We start from the raw sequence: 25,591 nt of genomic DNA on the forward strand, positions 1-25,591 counted from the left end.
TTTTAAGAGATGGGGTCGGCCAGGCACTGTGGCTCATGCCTGTAATCCCAACACTTTGGGAGGCCGAGGTGGGCAGATCACGAGGTCAGATCGAGACCATCCTGGCCAGTATGGTGAAACCCAATCTCTACTAAAAATACAAAAATTAGCTGGGTGTAGTGGTACGCACCTGTAATCCCAGCTACTCCGGAGGCTGAGGCAGGAGAATCACTTGAACCCAGAAGGCAGAGATTGCAGTGAGCTGAGATCACTCCACTGCACTCCAGCCTGGTGACAGAACAAGACTCCGCCTCAAAAAAGAAAAAAAAAAAAAGAAAAAAGAAAAGATGGGGCCTCTCTATGCTGTTCCAGGTTGGTCTCGAACTCCTGGCCTCAAGTGATTTCTCACACTTCAGCCTTCTGAGTAGCTGGGATTACAGACTGTATGTATCACCACACCTGGTGAGATTTTGCATTTCTAACAAGTTGTCTAGTGATATTGACTCTACTGTTCCATGAACCTCAGTCTAAGATCAGTTTAGCTTTTTGGCAGACCTACAATCTTGTTGACTAAATCTGAACTTGCAGTCAATTCAAATTCCCAAGTCTTTTTTATAAGCACAGTTGATTTTAGTAACCTACTTAATATTCCCATTTCTTGTTTTGTAACACATTGATAAAATCAACAAAAAGCATGTTACAGATGCCAAATCACTAATTATATATTCACATATGAAACAGAACATATTATTCTTTATATTTTAGCTTTAATTCATGAGCTAAAAGGAGTTGAAGACCTCTGTTGTCTCCAATTTTACAAGTGAGTCAGTTTTTGAGATCTCTTGGTGTCCTTTCCCTGACATTAAGAGAATTCCAAGGCTCTGCACTGAGTATTCTACAAATAATTTTTCTAAAGTCCCATAACAACAGCACAATTGCTAAACAATGAATCAACTACACAATGCTTTCCAAAAACCCTTGAAAAATAACCATTGGCTGCTTCTCAAGTGTATGAATAGTTTATCTTATTGTCCAATTACTAGAGGTTCAAAAAACCAGTTTTATAAATACTTATCCACAACGGAAAAAAAAATTAGTTTCAAGGTTGAGTGCTTGACTCCAGTTAGCTAATGTGACAAGAAGACAAAGAACCCTGCCAATTCCACATAACAGGGACAGAGGCCCTCTGTGCAGGGATCTTAATATGCTAAGAGAACAGCCTTTTAAGAAACAGATGCACTCAGTGTCAATCAGCTAAACTTTAGAAATTAATGACCTTCACTAGCTTTGCTTAGTCATTTTTTGGTGCCAACTTCTTGAGTACCCAAGTTCAATTCAAGTCAGTTTGACAGATTCAAGGTACATCCCAAGAATACGATACTCAACTCTACATAAATTTACCAGCTCACTGAAAGGGCTTGGCTCTGTTAATACTTACCCTAATTCAAGATGTTTTGGTTAGCACAGGATCAATGGTCAGATAATTGCTAGATTACAATATAATTCTATGACATTTCTTTTATTATTAGTTTTTTGTTTTTGTTTTTGTTTTTGTTTTGGTAGAGACAAGGTTTCGCCATGTTGCCTAGGGTGGTCTCAAACTAACTTAAGACTGTGCCCACTGAGTTGGCTGAGTTAAGTTGATAGTAAGTACTCTTCTGTCAGTTATTGGGTAGAAATATTTATGCTAAATGATATTAACATTTTCTGTTTTTAAATATTTTTCATTTAAGAAATAAAATCAATTGCTATAGCAACCCTGAGGGATCCTTAAGACTCAGGTATTCATTTACATTTTCAAGTCAGGAAAGATAATGAGCTTTACGGTTCTAAATTCAGCTAAATTAAAGAAGCCAAATATCCCAAATGATGCCTTTACGTCAGTCTCTCAAATACTTAGCTATGGAGATCTGAAAGCTTACAAATTGAATTCCTGACTGTTAAAAGCAAAAGATGCTGAGCCTGGAGTCCTCCAAAAAAAAAAAATACAGTGATTAAAGGCTGACTCATTGTGGCTGTGGCAAAAAAGTAGTAAACTCTTCATAGATAAAACAAACAGAAAACACCTATATTTGAAAAGTACCCTGAACACTGTTAAAAATATACTGACAATGTGCTTTAAAATGTATGAAAGTCATTCCATCTGTGGTTTCTTTTTTTTTTTTTTGAGAGTGTACTCAATCACAAACAGATGCTACAGCTGTCTCACAGTGTCCAAAGTGTGATGATCGGACTTAGATCCAAGATTCTACTAGATTTAACCATGCAAGCATAAAAGCCAACTGAATAACACTGTTGATGGAACACTGCTTTTCCTCATTAATGAGGAAGAATAGGCAGCACAAAGTGAAATTTCTGACTATGCATTGACCTCATCACAAAGCGATTATGATCATGGTACACATAGTATATATAGTATATATGGAATAGTGCCAAATAGCAGTAATGGATTTATTTACATTATATCTTCATTATTAAAGTGCAGAGAAAACGTGATTTCTAAGAAAGCTTGAAGGCTTATCTTCTTCAGGATTCTAGAGATGAATACACAAACTTTGACCAATACGGTAGTGACTTATCAGGCAGTTTAAATTAGGTTATGCTGCAGTAACAAAAATTCCCAAATCACTGTGACTTACAACTACAAGGGTTTATTTCTTGCTAATGTTACACGTCAGCTGTCAGTCAAGCTGAAGATGCACCCCTCTTCTAGCACAGCAGCTTTCATGGCAGAGGGATGACAGCCATGGCAGAAAAATGTTTCTTAAGGATTCTGTTTTGAGGTGACATCCATCCCTTTTGTTTACATTTCATTAGACAAAGGAAGTCACACAGCCAAGCTAGATGTCACTGGGTGGGGAATTAGAATTCTCTCATCAAGAGAGCCAGCAAATAATTGGGGAAAATAATAATGCTCCTCAGAGGAGATAACCCTAACTCCTTTCCAATTATGGCAATAGACTCGCCAAGTCTCAGATCTTGTGATAACCCTTATTTAAAATCCAAATGTGGTGCGTTTTACTCTGGAGACTAATAAACTAAAAAGACTAGTTAGTTGCCCCTCAAATATCTAACATATAACTGCAGAATGGGAATGATATAACTTGCACATATCTCCAAATTGGAAAGAGGACAAATGGGAAACACAGCAGCCACTTAACTATGTAAATTCTGAAATTTTGCTGGGCAGAAGATGCAGGGGCTGCTGCTTTGCCCTGGGACTGGGAAACATTCTTTAATTGGGTCCTGGTTCTTCTCTTTGGGAAAAGTTTCCCAGTTTACTGTTCTCTGAGGCTGCTGGTTCTGCCCCATAGGAGGTTATTCCTGTTCCTTGATCTTCCTTGGGTCTATAAATAAGGGATTATAGAATATGCCTCCTCTCCACAAACACACACACTCACTACTACCATGTTGGTGGCTGAGAAGCTTTCTCAGGCTGCTTCCTAGTCACAGAAGATTAGAGGCACACAAGTCATTAACAATCGCAGACTCTTTTACAAAAAGCATCCTGCTTTTTGCAGGACCTTGACTGAATCCCTGGTGTTTTGGTAACAATACCACATACTCGTTCGGTACATTGTCTGATTTCTAGTTACCTCAGGTGACAATATAATCAAAAGTTTTATCATAGGAACCACCTTCTGTCCATCCCCAAAATCAATGTCATATCTATTAGTTATTTTTTAAAGTATTAATTACAATAGTATCCCATTCTGGTATCAATTTTTTTATCAGTCAGCTTATACTCAATTATAATAAAATAACATACAACTCATAAATCTCAGTGGTTTATAAAACAGTTTCAATTCTTGCTCAAATTACTGTCAGATACTCTGGCTTTGTAGCATTTTAATTCACTCTGGTCGACCAGGCTGGAGTGCAATGGCGCGACCTCTTCTCACCCCTCCACCTCCCAGGTTCAAGAGATTCTCTTGCCTCAGCCTTTAGAGCAGCTAATTTTTGTATTTTTAGTAGAGGCAGGGTTTCACCATGTTGGCCAGGCTGGTCTCAAACTCCTGACCTCAAGTGATCCACCTGCCTTGGCCTCCCAAAGTGCTGGGATTACAGGCATGAGCCACCATGCCTGGCCAATTCATTGGTCATTTCTGTTTCTTTTATAAGATGTCTTCCATATTCTTGCCTCATTTTTCTACTGCTTATAATTAATAATTTGTAAGAGTCAGATGTTAACCTCTGTTATATAAAATAAATATTTTCCTATTCTGTTATTAGTTATCCAGCATACTCTTTAATTTTAGATTATAGTATTTTGCACATACACAAAATTCAATTTTTAAGACAAATAGATTTTGTAACAGAGAAAAATGTATATGTTTAGTCTTTTAATCCTCCTGGTGTGTTGTACATTTTTATGGTATGATATATAACTCCCTTATTCAATTTTGAGTTTATATTTGCCTTAAGTTCTATTTTATGTAATGTTTATATCGCAATATTTATTTCCTTTTCCTTCACATTCGCCTGTAGTATCTTGTCACACATTTATTTTATATATTTTTATCTTATTTTGAGTAGCATCTCTTATAAAACACACAGAGGTGAATTTTGTTTTAAAGAAATCCTGGGAGTTTCCATGCTTAAAATTTATTTTACTATTTTCATATTTAAAGTGATTATTGACATGTTTGGACTCATTACTATCATCTTATTTCATATTTTCTATCTTACCACAGTTTCTTATCTTCTCTAATTCTAAACTGGTAAAATTTGCCTTTTATGGTTTTCCCTTCTGCTATTATATAGCTTTCTATTATGTATCCATAAATTATTACTCTGAAATTTTAAATTCATTTAAAAGATGTAATTCAGTTAGTGTCTACAGTTAATCAATATATTGTATTAATTTAGTCATTCATATTCTCGTACAAACATCACCAACATCCATCTCCATAACACTTTCCATTTTGCAAAACTGAAACTCTATACCCATTAAACAAGTCCCCATTACTCTCTAACCTCAACTCCTGGCAACCACCATTCTGCTTTCTGCAGGGTTGTTCTATCCAGTATTGAGAGGAAAAGTATTGAAGTTTCCCACTGTTATTGCAGAACTATGTATTTCTCCTATCAGTTCTGTTAATCTTTGTTTTATATATGTTGATGGTCTGTTAGCAGATGCATAAGCATTTATAACTGTAATCTCCTTGCAGTACTGAACATTTTATTAATATACATTGTTTTTGTTTCTTGCAACCTTTATTGATTTAAAATCTATTTTGTCTAATATTAGCATAGTTGTCTCTGTTCTCTTTTGGTTACTGTTTGCATGGAATCTTTTTCCATGCTTCTACTTTGAACCTGTTTGTGTCTTTAGATCTAAAGTGAATTTCTTATAGATAGCCCATAATTGGACCATTTTAAAAATCCATTCTGCCAAACTCTGTCCTTTGACTGGAGAGGTTAAACCACTTATATTTAAAATAATTACTGGTAGAGGAGGGACTTTCTTTTGTCATTTGCTATTACTTCTCCAGAAGCCTTACGACCTTCTGTCCCCCCCTTATTTCCTGCATTACTGTCTTTTTTTGTGATTAGTTAATTTTTTTGTAGTGAAATATTTAGATTCATTTCTAATTTCTTCTTTTGTGTATCGAGCTATTTTCTTTGTGGTTATAATATAGGTTATGTTTAACATCCTAAAGTTATCACACTCTAATTTGAATTTATACCAGCTTAACTTAAGAAATAAACAAAAACTCTGTTCCTTTATAGCTCGATCTCCACCCCTTTCAGTTGCTACTGTCAACAAATTTACAAATTTATATAGTGTATGTCTGAAAAACTAGATGAATAATTATTTTTAATGTGTTAGTCTCATAAATTATGTAGAAAACAAAATGTGGAGTTACAAACCAAAGTTATAATAATATTAGCTTTTAGACTAACAATTGTGTTTTTAAAATGTTTTAGTATCTAAAATCATATCTAAAACAAAAAGCAGAGTTACAACTTCTCATTACAATAATAACAGCTTTCATAATGGCCCACGTATTTACTGTTGCTCAGATCTTTCTTTCTTAATGAGGCTTCAAGTTACAGTCTAGTGTCCTTTCATTTCACTCTGCATGACATTCATTAAGATTTCTTGCAGGAAAAATTTAGTGGTAATTAAGTCCCTCAGCTTTTGTTTATGTGGGGATGCCTTACTTTCTCCTTCACTTTTGAAGGACAATTTTTCCAGATATAGAATTCTTGGTTCACAGTTTGTTTTTTCTTTTAACACTTTGATATAACAGCCCACTGCCTTATGGCCTCCAACATTTCTGATGCGATATGTGCTCATAGTTTTATCAAGGATTCCTTGTATGTGACAAGTCACTTATCTCTTGCTACTTTCAAGGTTCTCTGTTTTTCAAAAGTTTTATTTTTAATGTGTCTTTAGTGTTGGTCTCTTTTAGTTCATCCAATTTTGAGTTTTTTGAGTTTCTTGCATGTTGATATTCATGTCTTCCAACAATCTTGGAAAGTTTTCAGCTATTATTTCTTCAGATATTCTACTTTCCCCTTTCTCTCTTTTCCTTCTGGGGTACAACAATGTGCATAATAGTCGGCTTGAAGGTGTCCCATAGGTCCCTTGGGTTGTGTTCGCTTTTCTTCAATCTTTTGGCTTTATGCTCTGCAAACTAAACTCTTCCCATTATCTTCCCTTCTAGTGTGCTCATTCTTTGGTCTGCCTACTCAAATCTGTCTTTGGATATCTTTAGTGAATTTTTCACTTTATGTATTATACTTTTCAGTTCCAGAATTTTGTTTTGGTTTCTTTTTAAACCTCTTTACTAATATTTCCATTTTTTCCATACATCATTTCATTGATTTTTTTTCCACATTTTTGTGTAGTTCTTTGAGAATCTTTTTTATTATTATTATACTTTAAGTTCTGGGGTACATGTGCAGAATGTGCAGGTTTGTTACATAGGTATACACGTGCCATAGTGGATTGTGGCATCCATCAACCCATCATCTACATTAGGTATTTTTCCTAATGCTATCCCTCCCCTAGCCACACACCCCTAAACAGGCCCCAGTGTGTGATGTTCCCCTCCCTGTGTCCATGTGTTCTCATTGTTCACCTCCCACTTATGAGTGAGAACACGTGGTGTTTGGTTTTCTATTCTTGTGTTAGTTTGCTGAGAATGATGGCTTTTACCTTCATCCATGTCCCTGCAAAGGACATGAGCTCATCCTTTTTTATGGCTGCATAGTATTCCATGGTGTATATGTGCCACATTTTCTTAATCAATCTATCATTGATGGACATTTGGGTTGGTTCCATGCCTTTCCTATTGTGAACACTGCCACAGTAAACATACGTGTGCATGTGTCCTTATAGTAGAATGATTTATAATCCTTTGGGTATATACTCAGTAATGGGATGGCTGGGTCAAATGGTATTTCTAGTTCTAGATCCTTGAGGAATCACCACACTGTCTTCCACAATGGTTGAACTAATTTACACTCCCACCAACAACGTAAAAGCGTTCCTATTTCTCCACATCCTCTCCAGCATCTGTTATTTCCTGACTTTTTAATGACCACCATTCTAACTGGCCTGAGATGGTATCTCATTGTGGTTTTGATTTGCATTTCTCTAATGGCCATTGATGATGAGCTTTTTTTCATATGTTTGTTGGCTGCATAAATGTCTTCTTTTGAGAAGTGTCTGTTCATATCCTTTGCCCACTTTTTGATGCAGTTGTTTATTTTTTTCTTGTAAATTTGTTTAAGTTCTTTGTAGATTCTGGATATTAGCCCTTTGTCAGATGGATAGATTGCAAAAACTTTCTCCCATTCTCTAGGTTGCCTGTTCACTGTGATGATAGTTTCTTTTGCTGTGCTGAAATGTCTTTACATATACTAAATTCCCAAATAGCCTTAAGTCTATTTCTAGATTATCTATTCTATTACGTGGAACTACACATTCTTTATATTATTCTGAAGGCCAAAATTTTGCATGATACTAACCTTCCAAATTAGGTGAGAAGAGTATGTTCTCTTTATCTTTTTAAAATTATTTTATTGATCATTCCTTTTTGTCACATTCTAATTTTCAGATAAATTTCACCTACTTTTAATAAATTCCAAAGCAAATTTCAGAAGAATTTTTATTGGGCTGCATTGTACTAATGACTAATTGACATTTTACAAATATCTTGTCACATATGAAAAGATTATTTGATGACACTGTGTAGTTTCAGAAATTTCCCAATATAGCATTCACATACTTTATTCATAAATGTTCTAATATTTTTGTTGCTACTGAGAGGTGACAGCGTGCTGGCAGTCGTCACAGCCCTCACTCGCTCTCGGCGCCTCCTCTGCCTGGGCTCCCACTTTGGCGGCACTTGAGGAGCCCTTCGGCCCGCCGCTGCACTGTGGGAGCCCCTTTCTGGGCTGGCCAAGGCTGGAGCCCACTCCCTCAGCTTGCAGCGAGGTGTGGAGGGAGAGGCGCGAGCGGGAACCGGGGCTGCGTGCAGCGCTTGCGGGCCAGCTGGAGTTCCGGGTGGGCATGGTCTTGGCGGCCCCGCACTCAGAGCAGCCGGCCAGCCCTGCTGGCTCCAGGCAATGAGGGACTTAGCACCCGGGCCAGTGGCTGCGGAGGGTGTACTGGGTCCCCCAGCAGTGCCAGCCCACCGGTGCTGCGCTCGATTTCTCACTGAGCCTTAGCTGCCTTCCCGCGGGGCAGGGCTCGGGACCTGCAGCCCGCCATGCCTGAGCCTCCCACCCACTCCATGGGCCCCGTGCGGCCCGAGCCTCCCCAACGAGCACCACCCCCTGCTCCAGGGTGCCCAGTCCCATCGACCACCCAAGGGCTGAGGAATGCAAGCACCCGGCGCGGGACTGGCAGACAGCTCCACCTGCAGCCCCAGTGCGGGATCCACTAGGGGAAGCCAGCTGGGCTCCTGAGTCTGGTGGGGACGTTGGAGAGTCTTTATTATCTAGCTCATGGATTGTAAACACCCCAATCAGCACCCTGTGTCTAGCTCAAGGTTTGTGAGTGCACCAATTGACACTCTGTATCTAGCTGGTCTGGTGGGGCCTTGGAGAACCTTTATGTCTAGCTCAGGGATTGTAAATACACCAATCAGCACCCTGTGTCTAGCTCAAGATTTGTGAGTGCACCAATCGACACTCTGTATCTAGCTGCTCTGGTGGGGCCTTGGAAATCCTTTATGTCTAGCTCAGGGATTGTAAATACACCAATCAGCACCCTGTGTGTAGCTCAAAGTTTGTGAGTGCACCAATCGACACTCTGTATCTAGCTGCTGTGGTAGGGCCTTGGAGAACCTTTATGTCTAGCTCAGGGATTGTAAACACACCAATCAGCACCCAGTGTTTAGCTCAAGGTTTGTGAGTGCACCAATCGACACTCTGTATCTAGCTGCTATGGTGGGGCCTTGGAGAACCTGTGTGTCCAAACTCTGTATCTAACTAATCTGATGAGGACATGGAGAACCTTTGTATCTAGCTCAGGGATTGTAAACGCACCAATCAGCGCCCTGACAAAACAGGCCACTGGGCTCTACCAATCAGCAGGATGTGGGTGGGGCCAGATAAGAGAATAAAAGCAGGCTGCCCGAGCCAGCATTGGCAACCTGCTCGGGTCCCCTTCCACCCTGTGGAAGCTTTATTCTTTCGCTCTTTGCAATAAATCTTGCTACTGCTCACTCTTTGGGTCCACGCTGCTTTTATGAGCTGTAACACTCACCGCGAAGATCTGCAGCTTCACTCCTGAGCCCAGTGAGACCACGAGCCCACCGGGAGGAACGAACAACTCCAGACGCACTGCCTTAAGAGCTGTAACACTCACCGCGAAAGTCTGCAGCTTCACTCCTGAGCCAGCGAGACCACGAACCCACCAGAAGGAAGAAACTCCGAACACATCTGAACATCAGAAGGGACAGACTCCAGACGCGCCACCTTAAGAGCTGTAACACTCACCGCGAGGGTCCGTGGCTTCATTCTCGAAGTCAGTGAGACCAAGAACCCACCAATTCTGGACACACTACTATGAATGGGATTTTGATTCATATATAAGATTTTATATATGGGTTTTGATTCATATATAAGAAAATTAAAAATTAAGAATTTATTAAATAATGTGTTTTTATGTTGCAAATTGTTCTCTAGTTAAGTTTCATGGTATTCTAGATATAGGATCATATAATTGGCAAGTAATAATTTTATCTCTTCTTTTCCCAACATTTATAACTTAATGCTTTTACATAACTGCTTTAGCTACCACCTCCAGTGAAAAATATTAAATAATAGTGGTACTAGGAAACAATCTTTGTTTTGTCCTACAAACATCTACTCACACATACATGCATGCACCCGTGTGTGTGCATGCACATACATACACGTGCACACATACATACACACATGCACACACACATGAACACACACACTTATTTTAAGAAACTGTTTATCCGTTTTGGGTTATATATATTCAATAATATCAAACGTTTTTTAGGTATTCAAAATGTAATATTTTTATTTCTTCATTACACATTACTGAGAATTTTCTTGCAGCAATTCAGCATTCCTGGAATGAGCCTCATTTGGCAAAGGAATATATTCTTTTAATACACTGTTGAATTGCATTTGCTACATTTTCTAAGATGATTCTCATCAATATTGTGCAAGATTGACTTGCAAATTGTTTTTGTCTTTTCTATGTCAGGTTTTGTATCAATATTATGTTGTCTAATAAAGGTTACTGTTATTTTTGCCCTCTTATTTCTATGATTGGGGGACAGTTTTAATATGCCATAAGTTAATATTACACAATTCTTGATAATTTACACAAAATTCATCTGTGAAGCCATCCAGAAGATGTAATTAACAGGTAGAGGTAGATAAGCTCCTTGACAGTTTTATTCTTTCCATTATGCTTTTTTTTTTCATTAGATTTTTCTATCTCCTTTTAAACCAGTTTTAAATTTCCTGGAAGTCATTCATTTAACCCACATTTTCAAATTTTAGTACATATAAGACTTGTGTAAAATTGTAGCATTCTTTTAATTTTTTCTGTATTTTAAGTCATCTCCCAATTTTTATCCATAATTTTCTGTATTTTTGGCTTTCTTCATTTCCCCAACTAATGACTTTTATATCATCAAAAAACAAGCTCTTAAATACATTAAGTTGATATTTAAACACAGATTAATAGTTTTCATTATCAATTCCTGTTGCTTTCCTTTTCTTGCTGATTTTTTAAAAACGTATTTGTTTTTCATTCTTACTAGATTAAAACTGGAAAAACTGAGGCTATAAATTTTCCTTGAAGTATGACGCTAATTGTAGCTCTATTTGACTTCTTCAAGTTTATTAATATGACTACTCCTGTGATCAAACAATTATCAAATAGAAACATATCTAATTATCAGGATTACTGATACACAGATAATTTGTTGACTATATCTTCATATTTGATAGCATCACATTTTTCTTTTAACTTTTATTTTAAGTTCAGGGGTACATGTGCAGGTTTGTTACATAGGTAAACATGTGTCATGGGGGTTTCTTGTACAGATTATTTCATCACCCAGGTATTAAGCCTAGGACCCATTAGTTATTTTTCCTGAATCTCTCCCTTCTCCTATCCTCCTCCCTCCTATAGGCCCCAGTGTATGTTGCTCTCCTCTATGTGTCCATGTGTTCTCAACATTTGGCTCCCACTTATAAGTGAGAACATAGCATCACAATTTGAACGCAAGTTATTCTGACTCCACATTTTGAGTTCTTAACTCTTATTTTCTATTGCCTCCTTACCTGCTGTTTGTTTTATATCTTTTGCTTTATGGCCTGGATTTTATTAGTTTTGAAATTTCCCCTTCTTCCCCTCAATTATTAATTTAGAAAATACATACAACTGTCAGGTTTTAGGTCTATTAGTGATGACTTTATGTATTTAACATTATATTTAAAATACTCTCAAGTGTCATTAACTATAAGATGCTTTGTTAGTTTTAAATGATCTTGAAAGAAAATATGGTGCCAGTTACAACTACATGTTATTACTGATTGGAAGACATATTCTAATTTCAGAAATGTTTCTTAGAATTGATGAAATACAATAGTATGCTTAAGCCACATTTTTCCATTTATATACATCAAAAACAAACTGTCCTCAGAAAGATGAAGCAATCAGCATATTAATATGACCTTCCCTCCAACCCCTCTCCCCAAATCTCCATTTTGCCAGTTCTTTCTGAACTTTTTGTCTCAGTTAACTATCATCAAATTATTATTTACCTTTTATTTAAGAATTCCAGTATTACATCCCCTTTTCCTAGTCTGTCTGATTTTATGTTTAACATGTTAATCACCAATCCTTCTAGATGGTAATTTTGCCATTTATGCATTCCTTCTTTTGATTCACCTTCTATGTAAGTTTTTAGAGACAGATCATAAAAGCTATAATTTCTTACTTTTTAAATTTTCACCTATTTTTCTTCAATACTCTACAGATATTATAGTGTCACTTGAAGTCAGAGAAAAAAATACTTGATTTTTAAAAACATTGTATGTGACATTTTTCTTAGTCTAGTCATGCTTATGAAATTTTTTAAATCTTAAAAGTGTATCTTTTAGTCTTTATTACGTTTTCCTGGTATTTAGTAAACCTTCTCAATCTATAGATTGCAATTTTAATTTCAGGGATAGCCCTTCCCTCTATATCAATAACATTTCCAAGTAGTTTTTAATTTCTACCTCACTACATTTTGTGTGATTTTTTTCTGAAGTATTTCCTCCAACTCATTAAGAACATCTGCTACATTATTCACTCTACATCTTCCTGGGTCTAATGTGGTTTTAATTATTTTTGATAGCTTTGCTCATCCCCATCTGCCAACACTTTTCTAACCTTACTTTAGTATCCTTTTATCTATATCTTGATCTCTTAAATCTCTTCCTTGATCTCTTATCATAAAGCCTAAGATCATTTTATCTCCTTGAGAGTGTTGAAAATTTTTCTTAAAATGTTCTTCATTTCCCCAAATGGTTCTTTTTTCAAAATATTTTCCTTATTTGCCTTTGTATTTTCATTTATTTTATTTCTTTTTGGTAGTACTCATATACAGGTCTGAAGTTGACATTTATATTATAAGAGGGGAGTTTAAGTATATCTGCTATTTGTTATGATTAGTGTGCTTGAGTTTCTCTACTTACCAGGTCACTTTTTCAAACATACTTCTATAAGATGAGCTGCAAAGCTAGAACTGGGATAAGAAAAATAGAGAGTACAAAGCGATCCTCTGTCAGACCCCACCTCTCCTATCAGTCCCAATTTGCTATTTGCCACTCATATCCCCAGTGCGCTTATTTCCCAGTTAAGTGTTACTGGTAAGAACTTTCTGAATTTAGGGACATATGTATCAGCATTTGACATCTAACTTTAATTTAGTTCAAATATTATCAATGATGGCAGTGGCAGGCCATCCGGAGCGGCCGCTGCTACCACTCCAGCTGCAGAGAGGAGGTGCAAGCAGTGGCTGCAGGGGCAGAAATGGCGGCAGTGGGTCACCTATGCCCCATGTCCCCGAGGCAGCCAAATGCACTGCTGCCACCCTCGTGCAGCCAGACGGGATGGGCTCCCAGGCCCGGAGCCTCAGCCACTCCAGACCCTGGCTCTGCTCACCACTCTTGCCAACAGCCACTGCAGAGAGGGAGAAGGGGGTTGGCAGAGCTGGGCCTGGGGCAGTGTGATGCTTCACAGAGCCCGCAGCAGCCAGGGACAAGTGGGAGCCCCCCTGGAGCCAGCCGCCCCGTGGCCACAGCAGTGGGGCCTGGCCGAGCCACCCGCTGGCAGGGGAACAGCATGGTTGGGCACAGAGGGGTGGACAGAGAGGGGCCCAGTGAGGACCTCAAGCCCCCACCCCAGGCTGAAAGATGTGGCCAGGGCTGCCAGCATGCTCCATGGAGCAGACGGGAGCCCCACCCTCCCAAGCGCAGGACTTGGGTGTCTCTGCACTCTGCACCCTCAGGGGCCCAGGAAGGCCTCCACTGCCCCCGCAGCCTCAGGGGTGTCTGCTCCCATTACCTGGCCTCTCCCCACTCCTGGTGCCCACTCCCATCTCGGAGCAGGGTTGGGGCTAAGCACAGGCACTGTCATAGCCTGGCATGGTGTGTACATGTTCGGGAGCAGCACTGACACGCCAGCCCCCTGCTGCCTTGGCCCCCTCTGGACTTTGAACACCAACAAGCATTGTGGGGAACATGAGGGGGTGCTGAGAGGAACTCAGCACTGGCTTGCAGGTGACCCTTGGCGTGAGCAGCCTGAGCAGCCTGGGTGCCATGGTCGGCAGCAGGGGGCAGACGGGCACCCTGGTGGAAGGGGGCGGGACCCTGGTGAGGCTGTACCTTCAGGCCAGGGAGGCACTGAAGGCTGGGGGCTAGGCTGGCAGTCCCACAGACCAGAGTGGGAACTTGCAGTGCCTTTTCCAGTCCTGCCCATGGCCACCCATGGACCAATTGGCACACACTTCCTCCCCTGAGGCCCACAAAAGCTCTGAGCTCAGCCATAGCTGGACAGACAATGGGACAACCAGCTGAAGAGAGGAGCTACCCTCTCTGTTGGGAGCTGAAACATGTTGGGATGTCCTGCCTGCAAAGAGGAGCTACCCTCTCCTAGAAGCTGAATACTCCATGGAACACCCTGGCTATAGAAATGAGCTGTACCCCGTAGATCTCCTCTGAGCTGTTCTATCACTCAGAAAAGCTCCTCTTCCTCTTGGTCACCCATCACTTGTCTGTGTACCTCAATCTTCCTGGTCACAGGACAAGAACTCAGAACCCACCAAATGGCATGGCTAAAAGAGCTGTAACACAAACAGGGCTGAAACACACCCCTTGTTCGCCACGTTCCAGGCAAAGATAAGGAGACAAGAGCTGTGGCCCTTGGGGGAACCCAGACCTGGGAGCTCCCAGAGCCAGGGTGGTGATTCCCTCTTTGGGGCCCTGTGTTTCATGGCATCTACAAGCTTCTGGGTGCCACCACATTCCCTGGTACCAGCTGGGGAAGCTGCTTGCCTTGCACCTGGTCCAGTTGCAGCCTTGCAGAGAGCTGGAACCCATGCCAGCACCTGGAGCTGCCTGCCGTGTGGCAGCAGCAGACAAGTCTGACTGCACAGTGGCTGGACCCCATGCTCGCTCATACACTCCTCCCAATTCCACGCTTGACTTGCAGTCTCCCTTGGAGGCATGGGATCCAGATCAGTAGCATGAGAAGAGCGCAGCCTACCAGGCTGAGTGGGTGGAAAAAGCCAAGCGGGCACAAGCAAAACTTGGGCAAAGGCACCAACAGCCAGAGGTTTCCAGCCAAAAAAGCAACACCCCAAAGATCCCATAACAACAATATCTAGAAAATAGCCTTTGCAATAAGTGGAATGGAGCCAAGGTCACTGCTATTGTTTCATTTATGGCTAAAGCTTACACCTCTATCCTTGGCTCTTTTCGTCCTTTTCAGAGAGCATTTCAAGAACAGCAATCAGCTCAATCAGTCATCTTTCTTAGAACTCCTAGAATTTCAGTTTTCACATAAGTTTCCAATGATTTAAAGTAAAAGATGAAAGCAGATGAAAGATCAAATAGACCTTTTTAATTTGTGATAATATTTAAATTTTATGTTAAACTTCAAGTGATGTAAGACAATTTCACTAATTTAGCTCTTTTAAGGCACAAGCAAACAAATTATCTTTACCTTTCATTTGATCCTATGACCCTGTCAATATTCTAAAACTTTTCTGAAAGTCATCATGGGAGTCACATATCCTGATGTTTGCATTTGATGCCTAAAAATATCCTGGACACTTTTTGTCAAATGAGCACCAATTGTTTTCAATGGACTAACCTCACCATTGGGTTAGCCATTCCTATCCAAAATAGAAAAGAAAAATAAAAACATGAAGATATTGAAAGATAACTGAAACATTTTTTAAGTTGAAGATTATTTCAGGATGATTAAGTAAGTCCTGATCAAAGCAAACAGGCCTCCTTTTACCAAGAACAAGTAATGACAAAATGTGAGCATAAAGTGGTTCGATTTGATATATACATACATCAGATCTTAGATAATCATAGCAGGTAAGACATTAATGATAATCATTCTCTGAAACACTTTTGGAATTCCCTTTTAGAACAGCTTTCACAACCATTATTTTACTAATTTCAGTGGTAGCAATTATTTACTATCTGAAATTTTTTAATGTTTTAATTCAGACACAAAAAGTGATTCTCAACTGGGAATGATTTTTCTCTTCAAGCGATGTTGGGCAATGCCTGGAAACAGTTTTGGTTGTCACAAGTTATGAGAGGGGGAACACTACTGGCACTGAATATGTAGAGGCCAGGAATGCAGCTAAACATTCTGAAGTGCATAGAACAGCCCCCACAACAAAGAATTATCCATCCCAACATGTCAATGGTGCCAAGGGTGAGGAACCCTGCATTAGAGTCAAGAATGATGAAAAAGATGGGAGACTGCTTTAGCATAGTCTCTTGCATTCTGTGGGCATTTAACAAATATTTCTTGGATGAAGGAATAATTAAGGGAAATGACACTGTTTGGGATGATAAATTATCATCACAAAACAAAAGGATCCATACAGTGGCTCTAAATATATTGCTAAGGGGAAAACTGTATAGCTTTCCAAGAGAACTATTTTGAAGGACAAAATTTTGAAAGAACGTAATAATATAATTGCTTTAAAAGCCACATACAACTAAAGACACAAGAAATCTGAGAAGACTACATCTTTTCATCTTATTACTTACAGAGTTTTATAAGACAGGAAAAATAAAACTACTGATGTAGCCAATACCTTCTGCTCATCTATAAAGTTGGTCTTTTCTTCCAAATACTATATGTGGATGGAATAGATGGTTCTCCCTACAAATCTTGAAATCTGCTTACAATAAACTCTGAGTAAAAAGATGTAACTGTAAAACAACCTATAAAAATTTGGCTGGGTGTGGTGGCTCATGCCTGTAATCCCAGCACTTTGGGAGGCCAAGGCGGGTGGATCACTTGAGGTCAGGAGTTTGAGACCAGCCTGGCCAACATGGTGAAACCCTGTCTTACTAAAAATACAAATAAAAAAACAAAAATTAGTCAGGCATGGTGGCACATGCCTGTGATCTCACCTCCTTGGGAGACTAGAGCAGCAGAATGGATTGAACCTGGGAGGCAGAGGTTTCAATGAGCAGAGTCCACACCAGTACACTCCAGCCTGGACAACAGAATGAGAATCCATCTCAAAAAAGAAAAAACAATTACTCCTTTGTATCTTAAAAATTCATATCAGAGAAGGAACTAAATTTTATCTCACTTAAGATATCATTTCACTAGCAACCAAAGTCCACTGAAAGAAATAAATAACCTTGATTAAAGGAAAATAAATGGGCAGAAGAATTCCTAAATGTCACTATTTTGGTTAAGCTATTCAAACAAACTGAGCTGCTGACACTGCCAATCCTGCCAATGAGAAACATAACATATTATGCACTAAAGGGAACAAATTCCATAGCCAGAGACTTGAGATTGGTTTTTGGGCTAACCAATTCATGGCTATGGAAACACAGACTGAGTGCATAACCATAAAGGTCCTAAGTTCCTCCACTGATAAATGGGGATGCTAAAAAGCTACCTTGTTGGGGGTTGCATGTTATTATTACTTTAATCATAATGGAACTAAAAGATCAGAGAGCTCACTCTGCCTAATTTAATTTCATAGAGCACTAAGGCCCCAGTATCATTTTTAAGTATTATAATTTTTAGCGTTTAATACTTAGTGTTTAAATATTATAATTTTAAGTAGAATACTCTTACCTAATATAGAAACTCTCATGTGACATATACTTTTAGAAAATTCATAACTTGGCTTCAAATAAGATTCACTGACAATTTTATGATGAATTTTAATTATTTTTATTTTTTTAGAGATGGGGTCTCAGTCTATTGTCCTCCAGGTGGATGCAGTGGCACAATCACAGCTCACTGCAGCTTTGAACTCTTGGGCTAAAGCAATCTTCCTGTGTCAGCCGCCTGGAGAGCTGGGAGTACTACTATGTGCCACCATGACTGGCTTGATTTCTTTATCTATCTATCTATCTATCTATCTATCTATCTATCTATCTATCTATCTATCTAAGACCAGGTCTCTCTGTGTTGCCCAGACTGGTGTGGAATGCCTGGCCTCAAGTAAGCCTCCCAGATAGCTCAAATTACAGGAGTGAGCCACCACATCCAACTAAATTTTTTTATTATTATTATTCTACTTTCAGTTCTGGGATACATATGCAGAATGTACAGGTTTGTTACACAGGTATATATGTGCCATGGTGGTTTGCTGCACCCATCAACACTTCATCTACATTAGGTATTTGTCCTAATGCTACCCCTCCCCTAGCCTCCCACACCCCAACGAGCCCTGGTGTGTGATGACCCCCTACCTGTGTCTATGTGTTCTCACTGTTATACTCCCACTTATGAGTGAGAATATACAATGTTTGGTTTTCTGTTCCTGTGTTAGTCTGCTGAGAATGACGGTTTCCCACTTCACCATGTCCCTACAAAGGACATGACTCATCCCTTTTTATAGCTGCATAGTATTACATGGTGTATATGTGCCACATTTTCTTTTTTTTCTTTTTTCTTTTTTTTTCTGAGACAGTTTCAATCTTTTTTCCCAGGCTGGAGTGCAACGGCACAATCTCAGCTCACTGCAACCTCCGTCTCCCAGGTTCAAGCGATTCCCCTGCCTCAGCCTCCCAAGTAGCTGGGACTACAGGCACACACCACCATATCTGGCTAATTTTTTGTATTTAGTAGAGACGCAGTTTCACCATGTTGGTCAAGCTGGTCTCGAACTCCTGACCTCAGGTGATCCACCCACCTCAGCCTCCCAAGCCACATTTTCTTTATCCAGTCTATCACTGATGGGCATTCAGGTTGGTTCCAAGTCTTTGCTATTGTGAATAGTGCTGCAATAAACATACATGTACATGTGTCTTTATGGTAGAATGATTTATAGTCCTTTGGGTATATACCCAGTAATGGCATTGCTGTGTCAAATGGTATTTCTAGTTCTAGATCCTTGAGGAATCACCACACTGTCTTCCACAATGGCTGAACTAATTTACACTCCCACCAGGAGTGTAAAAGCATTCCTATTTCTCCACATCCTCTCTAGCATCTGTTGTTTCCTGACTTCTTAATGATCCCCATTCTAACTGGCATGAGATAGTATCTCATTGTGGTTTTCATTTGCATTTCTCTGATGACCAGTGATGATGAGCCTTTTTTCATGTTTCTTGGAGGCATAAGTGTCTTCTTTTGAGAAGTGTCTGTTCATATCCTTCACCCACATTTTGATGGGGTTGTTTTTTTTCTTGTAAATTTGGTAGATTCTGGATATTAGCCCTTTGTCAGACGGATAAATTGCAAAAATTTTCTCCCATTCTGTAGGCTGCCTGTTCACTCTGATGTTAGTTTCTTTTGCTGTGCAGAAGCTCTTTAGCTTAATTAGATCCCATTTGTCAATTTTGGCTTTCGTTGCAATTGCTTTTGGTGTTTTAGTCATAAAGTCTTTGCCCATGCCTATGTGCTGAATGGTACTGCCTAGGTTTTCTTCTACAGTTTTTATGATTTATGTCTTACATTTAAGTCTTTAATCCATTTTGAGTTAACTTTTGTATAAGGTGTAAGGAAGGGGTCCAGTATCAGTTTTCTGCACATGGCTAGCCAGTTTTCCCAACATCATTTATTAAATAGGGAATCCTTTCCCCATTGCTTGTTTTTGTCAGGTTTGTCACAGAACAGATGGTTGTAGATGTGTGGTGTTATTTCTGAGGCCTCTCTTCTGTTCCATTGGTCTTATATCTGTTTAGGTACCAGTGCCATGCTATTTTGGTTACTGTAGCTTGCAGTATACTTTAAAGTCAGGTAGTGTGATGCCTCCAGCTTTGTTCTTTTTGTTTATATTGTCTTGGCTACATGGGCTCTTTCTTGGTTCCACATGAAATTTAAAGTAGTTTTTTCTAATTCTTTGAAGAAAGTCAGTGGTAGCTTGATGGGAGTAGCATTCAATGTATAAATTACTTGGGACAGTATGGCCATTTTTATGATACTGAATATTCTTATCCATAAGCATGGAATGTGTTTCCATTTGTTTGTGTCCTCTCTTATTTCCTTGAGCAGTGGTTTGTAGTTCTCCTTGAAGAGGTCCTTCACATCCCTTGTAAGTTGGATTCCTAGGTATTTTATTCTCTTTGTAGCAATTGTGAATCGGAGCTCACTCATGATGTGGCTCTCTGTTTGTCTATTATTGGTGTATAGGAATGCTTGTGATTTTTGCACATTGATTTTGTATCCTGAGACTTTGTTGAAGTTGCTTAACAGCTTGAGTTTTTGGGCTGAGACGATGGGGTTTTCTAAATATACAATCATGACATCTGCAAACAAAGACAATCTGACTTCCTCTCTTCCTATTTGAATACCCTTTATTTCTTTCTCCTGCCTGATTGCCCTGGCGAGAACTTCCAATACTATGCTGAATAGGAATGGTGAGAGAGGGCAACCTTGTCTTGTGCCGGTTTTCAAAGGGAATGCTTCCCGCTTTTGCCCGTTTGGTATGATATTGGCTGTGGGTTTGTCATAAATAGCTCTTATTATTTTGAGATATGTTCCATCAACACCTAGCTTATTGAGTGTTTTTAGCATGAAGGGGTGCTGAATTTTATCGAAGGCCTTTTCTGCATCCATTGAGATAATCATGTGGCTTTTGTCATTGCTTTTGTTTATATGATGAATTACATTTGTTGATTTGCATATATTGAACCAGCGTTGCATCCCAGGGATGAACCCAACTTGATCATGGTGGATAAGCTTTTTGATGGGCTGCTGGATTTGGTTTGCCAGTATTTTATTGAGGATTTTTTGCATCGATGTTCATCAAGGATATTGACCTGAAATTTTCTTTTTTTATTGTGTCTCTACCAGGTCATCATATCAGGATGATGTTAGCCTCATAAAATGAGTTAGGGAGGAGTCCCTCTTTTACTATTGGTTGGAATAGTTTCAGAAGGAATGATACCAGTTCCTTTTTGTACTTCTAGTAGAATTTGGCTGTGAATCCGTCTGGTCCTGGACTTTTTTTGGGTGGTAGGCTATTAATTACTGCTTCAATTTCAGAATTTGTTATTGGTCTATTAAGAGATTCAACTTCTTCCTGGTTTAGTCTTGGGAGGTTGTATTTGTCCAGGAATTTATCCGTTTCTTCTAGATTTTCTAGTTTATTTGCGTAGAGGTGTTTATAGTATTCCCTGATGGTAGTTTGTATTTCTGTGAGATTGGGGGTTATATCCCCTTTATCATTTTTTATTGTGTCTATTTGATTCTTCTCTCTTTTCTTCTTTATTAGTCTGGCTAGCAGTTTATCTATTTTGTTAATCTTTTCAAAAAACCAGCTCTTGGATTCACTGATTTTTTGAAGGGTTTTTCATGTCTCTATCTCCTTCAGTTCTGCTCTGATCTTAGTTATTTGTTGTCTTCTGCTAGCTTTTGAATGTGTTTGCTCTTACTTCTCTAGTTCTTTTAATTGTGATGTTAGGGTGTCCATTTTAGATCTTTCCTGCTTTTTCTGTTGGGCATTTCGTGCTATAAATTTTCCTCTACACACTGCTTTGGCTGTGTCCCAGAGATTCTGGTACGTTGTGTCTTTGTTCTCATTGGTTTCAAAGAACTTATTTATTTCTGCCTTAATTTTGTTATTTACCCAGTAGTCTTTCAGGAGCAGGTTGTTCAGTTTCCATGCAGTTGTGTTGTTTTGAGTGAGTTTCTTAATCCTGAGTTCTAATTTGATTGTGCTATGGTCGGAGAGACTGTTTGTTATGATTTCCATTCTTTTGAATTTGCTGAGCAGTGTTTTACTTCCAAATGTATGGTCAATTTTGAGTAAGTCCTATGTGGTGCTGAGAAGAGTGTATATTCTGTTGATTTGAGGTGGAGAGTTCTGTAGATGTCTATTAGGTCTGCTCGGTCCAGAGCTAAGTTCAAGTCCTGGATATCCTTGTTAATTTTCTGTCTTGTTGATCTGTCTAATAGTTACAGTGGGGTGTTAAAGTCTCCCACTATTATTGTGTGGGACTCTAAGTCTTCTTGTAGGTCTTTAAGAACTTGCTTTATGAATCTGGGTGCTCCTGTATTGGGTGAATATATATTTAGGATAGTTGGCTCTTCTTGTTACATTGATCCCCTTCTTTGTCTTTTTTGATCTTTGTTGGTTTAAATTCTGTTTTATCGGAGACTAGGATTGCATCCCCTGCTTTTTTTTTGTTTTTTTTTTGCTTTCCATTTGCTTGGTAAATATTCCTCCATCCATTTATTTTCAGCCTATGTTTGTCTTTGCACGTGAGATGGATCTCCTGAATACAGCACACAGATGGTCTTGACTCTTTATCCAATTTGCCAGTCTGTGTCTTTTAATTGGGGCATTTAGCCCATTTACATTTAAGGTTAATATTGTTATGTGTGAATTTGATCCTGTCATTATGATGTTAGCTGGTTATTTTGCACATTAGTTGATGCAGTTTCTTCAGAGTGTCAATGGTCTTTACATTTTGATATGTTTTTGCAGTGGCTGATACCGCTTTTTCCTTTCTATATTTAGAGCTTCCTTCAGGAGCTCTTGTAAGGCTGGTCTGGTAGTGACAAAATCCCTCAGCATTTGCTTATCTTTAAAGGATTTTATTTCTCCTTCACTTAAGAAGTTTAGTTTGGCTGGATATGAAATTCTGGATTGAAAATTCTTTTCTTTAAAAATGTTGAATATTGGCCCCCACTCTCTTCTGGATTGTAGGGTTTCTGCAGAGAGATCTGCTGTTAGTCTGATGGGCTTCTCTTTGTGGGTAACCTGACCTTTCTCTCTGTCTGCCCTTAACATTTTTTCCTTCATTTCAACATTGGTGAATCTGATGATTATGTGTCTCGGGGTTACTCTTCTCAAAGACTATCTTTGTGGTGTTCTCTGTATTTCCTGAATTTGAATGCTGGCCTGTCTTGCTAGGTTGGGGAAGTTCTCCTGGATAATATCCTGAAGTGTGTTTTCCAACTTGGTTCCATTCTCGCTGTCCCTTTTAGGTACATCAATCAATCATAGATTTGGTCTTTTCACATTGTCCTGTATTTCTTGGAGACTTTGTTCATTCCTTTTCATTCTTTTTTTCTCTAATCTTGTCTTCATGCTTTATTTCATTAAGTTGATCTTCAGTCTCTGATATCCTTTCTCCTGCTTGATCAATTCGGCTAATGATTCTTGTGTATGCTTCACAAAGTTCTCGTGCTGTGTTTTTCAGCTCCATCAGGTCCCTTATGTTCTTTTCTAAACTGGTTATTCTAGTTAGCAGTTCCTGTAACCTTTTATCAAGGTTCTTAGCTTCCTTTCATTGGGTTAGATCATGCTCCTTTAGCTCAGAGGAGTTTGTTATTACCCATCTTCTGAAGCCTACTTCTGTCAATTCATCAAACTCATTCTCCATCCAGTTTTGTTCTCTTGCTTATGAGGAACTGTGTTCCTTTGGAGGAGAAGAGGCATTCTGATTTTGGAATTTTCAGCATTTTTGCGTTAGTTTTTCCTCATCTCCGTGGATTTATCTATCTTTTATCTTTGATGCTGATGACCTTTGCATGGGGTTTTTCTGTGGGTGTCCTTTTTGTTCATGTTATCACTTTTTCTTTGTTAGTTTTCCTTCTAACAGTCAGGCCCCTCTACTGCAAGTCTGCTGGAGTTTGCTAGAGGTCCCCTCCAGACCCTGTTTGCCTGGGTATCACCAGCAGAGGCTGCAGAACAGCAAAGACTGCTGCCTGCTCCTTCTGTTGGAAGCTTTGTCCCAGAGGGGCACCTGCCCAATGCTAGCCAGAGCTCTCCTGTATGAGGTGCCTGTCAACCCCTGCTGGGAGGTGTCTCCCAGTCAGAAGGCATGGGGGTCAGGGACCCACTTGAGGAGGCAGTCTGTTCCGTAGCAGAACTTGAGTGCTGTACTGGGAGATCCACTGCTCTCTTCAGAGCTGGCAGGCAGGAATATTTAAGTCTGCTGAAGGTGTGCCCACAGCCGCCCCTTCCCCCAGGTGCTCTGTCCCAGGGAGATGGGAGTTTTATCTATAAGCCCCTGACTGGGGCTGCTGCCTTTCTTTCAGAGACGCCCTGCCCAGAGAAGAGGAATCAAGAGAGGTAGTCTGGCTACAGTGGCTTTGCTGAGCTGTGGTGGGTTCCCAGCTAAATTTTAAACAATTATTTTGATAACTAGCTTTTTCAATAAATTTTGCTGCATGTTAACTCCTCTCATATGAACACTGAATTAACAATTTGCTCTTATCTAATATGCATATAAGAACAAAAATTGTATCAGATTGTGCTCTTACATAGGTCTTTAATGACAGCAAATAATTAAACCTAGAGTAAATCTATTTAGCAATATATTAAAATTATTAATTTATTTCAGTGGTGAATTATTCCTAAAGAACATTTTTAGGACAGCTGGACTACTAATGCAATTTATGTGATTAAATTTGCAATACTTCAAATCATGTCACTATATTCTTCCCCAGAGAAGCAATCTCATTTTTATAACCTCACCATGTGGTTAGATCATTGAGTACACATTAGGTACTCAATAAATGTTTATTGAACTAAATTGAAAGCAGTGAACTTGAAATTCTAGGAGCTCATGTTATTCTAAAGCTGTACACGTGATAATAAAACAGACTAAACAATGCAAAGGAAACAATTAAATTAGAATTGTATTACACCAATTTACCTAGGATGGTAGGCTATGAAGATATATTAAAACTCAATCAGAAAAACACCAGAAAGAAAAATGTGATGATTCTGAAGCTTGAGCCTGTAGCTATCAATCTTTGTGGAAAAAAAAAAAAAAAGTTGGCTGGGCATAGTGGCTCACACATCATCCCAGTGCTCTGGGAAACCGAGGTAGTAGGATCACTTGAGGACAGGAGTTTGAGACCAGCCTGTGCAACATAGAGAGACCCCATCTCTACAGAAAATTTAAAAATTAGTTAACTGTCGTGGCATGTGCCTGTAGACCTAGTTACTCAGGAAGCTGAGGTGGGAGGATCACTTAAGTCCAGCAGTTTGAGGTTGCAGCAATCTGTGATTGTGCCACTGCAGTCAATACTGCACTTCAGACTGGGTGACACAGTGAGAACACTATCTCTCGAGAAAAAAAACAGAGAGAGAGAAACATTCATATAGACCAGTATATTTCATGTTTTCTTTTCCTTACTCTTTTTGAAATCACCTTCATTATTATGGTAAAATAAATGTAACATAAAATTTAACATCTTAAACTTCAACTCACTTTTAATGCACTCTTTTTTCATTAACACCTCAGGTCCTGCTTGAGAGTCTTGCTATAGGGTGTCTGAAGGAAGATATGCAAATATCAGAGAAATTGGCTAGGCTAGAATTTTCTTTTAAAATATTTACTAAAGCCTAATTTTACTTAACTTACACTATGCTGTCTTGAAAAACAGCTATTAATAAACTATTAGGAAATAGTAAGTTAATTCCAG

General features: G+C 39.2%; 1 protein-coding gene across 12 annotated transcripts in view; it reads right to left on the reverse strand.

Annotated features, from left to right (window-relative positions):
- Positions 1 to 25,591, reverse strand: part of EXOC6B (exocyst complex component 6B) — a 650,050-nt gene that overhangs the window by 237,405 nt on the left and 387,054 nt on the right. The window contains exons 19-20 of one of the 12 annotated variants that reach the window (XM_011532711.4): positions 25,378 to 25,440; positions 10,464 to 13,223 (exon numbers count right to left, since the gene is read on the reverse strand). The exons of the other annotated variants lie outside the window; for them this stretch is intronic. Of the exons in view, the coding sequence (XP_011531013.1) occupies positions 25,399 to 25,440 (42 nt within the window). The 3' untranslated portion in view covers positions 10,464 to 13,223; positions 25,378 to 25,398. Of the gene's footprint in view, positions 1 to 10,463; positions 13,224 to 25,377; positions 25,441 to 25,591 lie in introns of those variants that run through there. 12 annotated transcript variants of the gene reach the window in all.

This window comes from Homo sapiens, chromosome 2 (genome assembly GCF_000001405.40).
Source record: "Homo sapiens chromosome 2, GRCh38.p14 Primary Assembly".
NCBI classification, from domain to species: domain Eukaryota; kingdom Metazoa; phylum Chordata; class Mammalia; order Primates; family Hominidae; genus Homo; species Homo sapiens.